This window comes from Homo sapiens, chromosome 2 (assembly GCF_000001405.40).
Source record: "Homo sapiens chromosome 2, GRCh38.p14 Primary Assembly".
NCBI lineage: Eukaryota > Metazoa > Chordata > Mammalia > Primates > Hominidae > Homo > Homo sapiens.
The window spans coordinates 115,070,130-115,075,141 of record NC_000002.12 but is presented as its reverse complement, the minus strand read 5'-3'; the positions used below and the strand labels follow the sequence as shown (position 1 = coordinate 115,075,141).

The 5,012-nt window shown below is 37.7% G+C and overlaps 1 protein-coding gene across 11 annotated transcripts in view; it reads right to left on the bottom strand.

Annotated features, from left to right (window-relative positions):
* Nucleotides 1-5,012, bottom strand: part of DPP10 (dipeptidyl peptidase like 10) — a 1,403,140-nt gene that overhangs the window by 770,639 nt on the left and 627,489 nt on the right. The gene's annotated exons all lie outside the window — the stretch shown is intronic.

The following is a 5,012-nucleotide window of genomic DNA, read 5'->3' as shown; positions in this document are numbered from 1 at the left end:
CTCTTCTCACTCTGAGCTTTCACTGAATATGACCTCCCACACTCATGGCTTCACTGGCCATCATATGATTTATACCATGACCCACGTATAACTGCTTCTCACTCTCTTGTCTGTGGGACCAAGGCATCGCTCCTGCTGCTTATCCGACATTTCATCTTGGATGGTCCAAAGGCATCTCAAACTCAATGTATTCAAGATGTGGTCTTCTACCTCATATAAGAGATTTATTTAATCCTGCCAATTTTATTGACTAGCAGCATGGTTCATCTGGTTGCTCAAGTCAGATATATCACATATAAGCTTCTCTTTCAAGTCCCATTGATTTCACCTCTAAAATAATACATGCAGAAATCCCCATGATATGCAAATCCTGTTGGCTCTCCCTCCTAAATAATTTACATAAGTTGACTCCAGCACCCAAACCTAGTCCAGGGTGTCATCATCTCTTTCCCCGGACAACCCTCATTACCTTCGAAATGGTTTACCATTTTCTACATTTGCTCCCCTCCCATCCTTAGTTATTTTACATGTCCTAGTTTTCTGTAGGAGCACTTGATCAACATCTGTCTACCTCTGAAAGGTAAATTCTATAGAGTCAGGAAACTTGCTTGTTTGTCCCAGGTTTGTATCCCTAGGACCTTGCGATTGCATTTCCATCCTGCTTCACGTACCCTAAATTCTGGAAGACAATTTCATACGTGTGGCTATGAATGTTTTTTTCAGTGCAGCATCTTTGGAATAACCTCTCAGCTCTTAAAGGTAACTATTTTAAGTTGGGCATCACATATTAAGACAAAAACATTTTGCTATGTGTGTTTAAAAAAATCATTTCCCTGCCGTTTTTGGTAGTTACACCTGTAGTCCCAGCACTTTGGGAGGTTGAGGCAGGAGGATTGCTTGAGGTCAGGAGTTTGAGACCAGCCTGGGCAGATTCCTTATTTCTGAAAAAAAATTTTAAAAAAGTTATCTGGGTATGGTATTGTGTGCCTGTAGTCCAAGCGACTAGGGAAGCTAAGGCAGGAGGATCATTTGAATCCAGGAGTTCAAGGTTATACTGAGCTATGATTGCACCACTGCACTCCAGCCAGGAAAACAGAGCAAGACTCTATCAAAACAAAATCAAAAAATCATTTTTCTGTCTTAAAAATTAAAACAGCCAACCTTCTTCTCACTCTTTACAGAGATACAGCCAAATAGAGAACAGGCTCATGTGATTTTAATCACTTTCCCTTAACTTTGCCTATTTTATAAGGAGCACAAATGAGTATAAAAAAGCTACCATTCAGTAAAGGAGAAAGAAATTAACGCACACTGAGCACTTCCTGTGTGTTCAATCCTACACAGATTATCTTTCATTGAACTTGAACAGCCTTGGAACTGTTGAGTATATTTTTAATCACTCTACTTTATAGAGTGAGGAAACAGATGTTACAAGAGATTCAGTAATTTACCTAAGTATCTCAGTAGTAAATGGCCAGAGCCAAGACTTCAGTTCAAATCTCTGATTACAAAATCCCTGCTCTTCTAGACAGGCTGTTTTCTCAAAGCAAAGGTGACCCAGATAAATTCAAGGTCAGGGTTATACAGTAACAGAATCATAAACTGAACAGTTGATTTCAGATTTAAAGTTTAGAAGGAACTGCCCTCTAACAGCCCATCTTAGAGCTAGGTAAGTTTGGAAGTGATTTCCACCACACACCCACCTCCACTGTGCCCTGCTGCCACCCCCTGCGCCTAGCGACAGGCAGGCCCTAATACAGGGATCCTCCACTTTGGCTATGCATGCAATTGACCAGTGGGGATTTTAAAAACATAACTTCTCAAGGTGGAATTCAGGTTTTAGAACTTTTAAAGCTCTACAGGGTGTTCTGATGTAAAGATAGGACTTGGAAATACAAGTTAAGTTTTTCTTCGGAATGTATTCTTTTGTCTTTAAATTCCATGTACACATGAACATTAAATTTTAGACAGACAATAAATGTTCTTTAACATGGAAGACAAAATCAGGAAGATCAGGAAGATTATGCCTACTATTTCTATCTTAAAGAAAATATAATCTGGCTGGGCGCAGTGGCTCAAGCCTGTAATCCCAGCACTTTGGGAGGCTGAAGTGGGTGGATCACCTGAGGTTAGAAGTTCGAGACCAGCCTGGCCAACAGGGTGAAACCCCATCTCTCCTAAAAATGCAAAAATTAGCTGGGTATGGTGGTGGGCACCTGTAAACCCAGCTACTTGGGAGGCTGAGGTAGGAGAATTGCTTGAACCCAGGAGATGGAGGATGCAGTGAGCTGAGATCACACCACTGCACTCCAGCCTGGGTGACAGACTGAGACTCTGTCTCAAAAAAAAAGAAAATATATTTTCTATTCAATATACATCATTTCATTCAATATTAATAAATCCCTGCACCCTTCTCTCTTAACAGGATAAATAGAAAATTTTAGACACTTTAAATGCTTTTCATAAAAAGCATGCCTTTTTGCTACTCTTAAACTTATTTACACATTTTCTCTGAGGTTGTATGTAGGCACACATGTGGGTGTCTGTGAATTAACACACTTAAGCAAAGTGTTAATTCAGTAATAGCACTGGAGCACAATTTTCTGAAGATAGATTCATAATTGGCTCACAAAGAAGGCAGAATAGCAGCAGTCAGTGCAACGATGTTGAATGTACTACAGGCTGCTGTTTCAAGGGCACAGGTGAATTTAAAGCTGCTGTACTCACATCTACACATAGGCAAAATCACTCAAGGCAACAGAGTAAAGAATAGCTTTTATGAATAAAATATAAGCCAAGATTGTTTCTTTTAAGAAAAAAGACATATCTATGCTAAACTGTAAAACCTGTTTCTAGGACTGTTCCCTATAGCTATTTTACTTGTCTGCTTGGCTTAGTCTGATTGTCAGCCTCTTCAGTCGGGCTCTCGTTCAGATAACCATCAGGTGATATATGTGCTTTTTAAAAAAAACAGTGGGGAAGGAAGGCATCAATGTGCATTTATTCCATTTCCAATCTGTGACTCATTTCTGTCTTTTCTTCAACCTATTGCTGAATTCTACAGTGTCCCTCTTCTTTATAGTTTCCTCTATCGTCCCTGTCTTTTCCAGATCTGCTATCATTACCTCAACTGTGGGCTGAAATTCTCTCATTTGAACAACTGGACAATTCTTCTTTGCTGTTCTCATTCTTTCAAGCCATTCATTTCTGGTCTTGCCTCAGTGTCATTGCCAAGAAATTTGGCCAAGAAATTATCTGTGTATTTGAAAAAAAAATAATGGAAACTTTTTTGAGGTGCCTAGATTATTGACCAGGAAATTTCCTCTCAGCTTCTAAATGTTTTAAACTAAGGTGATCAGGCATTGTGAACATCGCTTCCCTGCCAGGCCTCAGCCACGCCCTCACCTACTGCTGAAACAAGCCCAAATGCTCCGTAGAGCTCATGTTTACTTTTTTTTTTTTAAATAAATATAGAAATTGCCCCTTCTGGTCTTAAAACTTGAAACTCACTTCTGAGTTCCTCCCTAGGGAAATTAACCTTCAGGCAAGGAAGGAACAGAAACTCACCTGATCACCGAATCCAGACAGATGCCAGAACCCTCATTTGTCATGATTGCTTTCTGTACATAGCTAAATTCCTTCCCTGATATATAAACCCCCAATGTTGCTTGGGTGAGAGGGATAGATTTGAGCTTTGGCTCCCATCTCTCTTCCCAGGCAACACTCATTGTCTCAGTGATTGGCTTTCTGTGCAGTGAGCAATGGAACCTAGACCAAACCCCTGGGGTTTTAATAACATAGTCTCTACATGCACTGCTTTGTATGAGTTAACACCATACACTGCATGGGACGTGGAGGAGGATGTAGAGCAAAGAAAAAAGAGTATAGAACAAAGAGAATGACAAGAAATAGGCAGGGAGAATAAGAAAAAAGTAGGTAGAAGAAAGGTTATAAAAAAGAGAAAAAAGAAAGAATTTTCTATTGCTGACTCTTTGAAGAGAAAGGACGTTTATGAATTCCTAAGATAAGTGTTTAATTGGCAAGCAGTCAGTTGCATAAACATTGATTCATTAATTTCTATTTATGAAGAGAAAATAGACATTTAATTGCAACATTACAAAAGTAACCTTTTGTCCTTCATAAATATTAATATTCAAAATACTTAGAAGATTATTGGCATTGATTTGGCAGATTTGTTTTTGACTATCTGGGAAATTTCACGCCTAAAGCCAAATAAACATTTTTATTAGGTGAAGGCTAAGTGCAATGATAAATAAATTTGAGAAAATTCTAAGTTAGTTAATACATTTTCTTATTTAAAACTCAGGGAGTCAAGGAGAACCAGAGTGTCAACTGTTGTGAATTAAAATGATATTTATTTAATTAACAAATTAGTATTCTACACTTACTTATATTTATAATTGGTATTCCTAGAGTAAATGAACCCATATGCTATATCTTTTCTATAATCATATACTATATAGTACATCATATACTATAATCATATGGCTGTTTGATAGTCAATACTATGGTAATTGTTAGGTTAGCATGCCAATAAATGTGTCTGATCAATGACAGTTAACACTGTTTTACACCCATTATTAGAATTCAGGGACAAAACATCAGCATGCATTTTCATTGTAATTTATCATTTTTGAATTAGTTTATGTGATTTGACATGGTACTAAATAATCCATTGCCCTCTGGAAAGAGCATGCTTGAGGTACTGTTTAATAATTCTCTGCCATATATTTGTTCTGAACATTGATCAAAGATGGTTATGTGGTCTAGTTCTTTTTAGTTTTATTTAAAAATTACAATACAATAATGTACTAAATGAGTGAAATATAGAACATTCCTCTTGGTGCTATTTAAGGACCAGAGTGTGTTAAGAAATAATGGCTAGCATTTGCATAGCTGACAAGCATAGTCCTAAACACAAAGAGATGTGTAATGTCACATTTGCATGAAGTATTAGCTCTTATCACCACATAATGTATTTCTCATTTTAC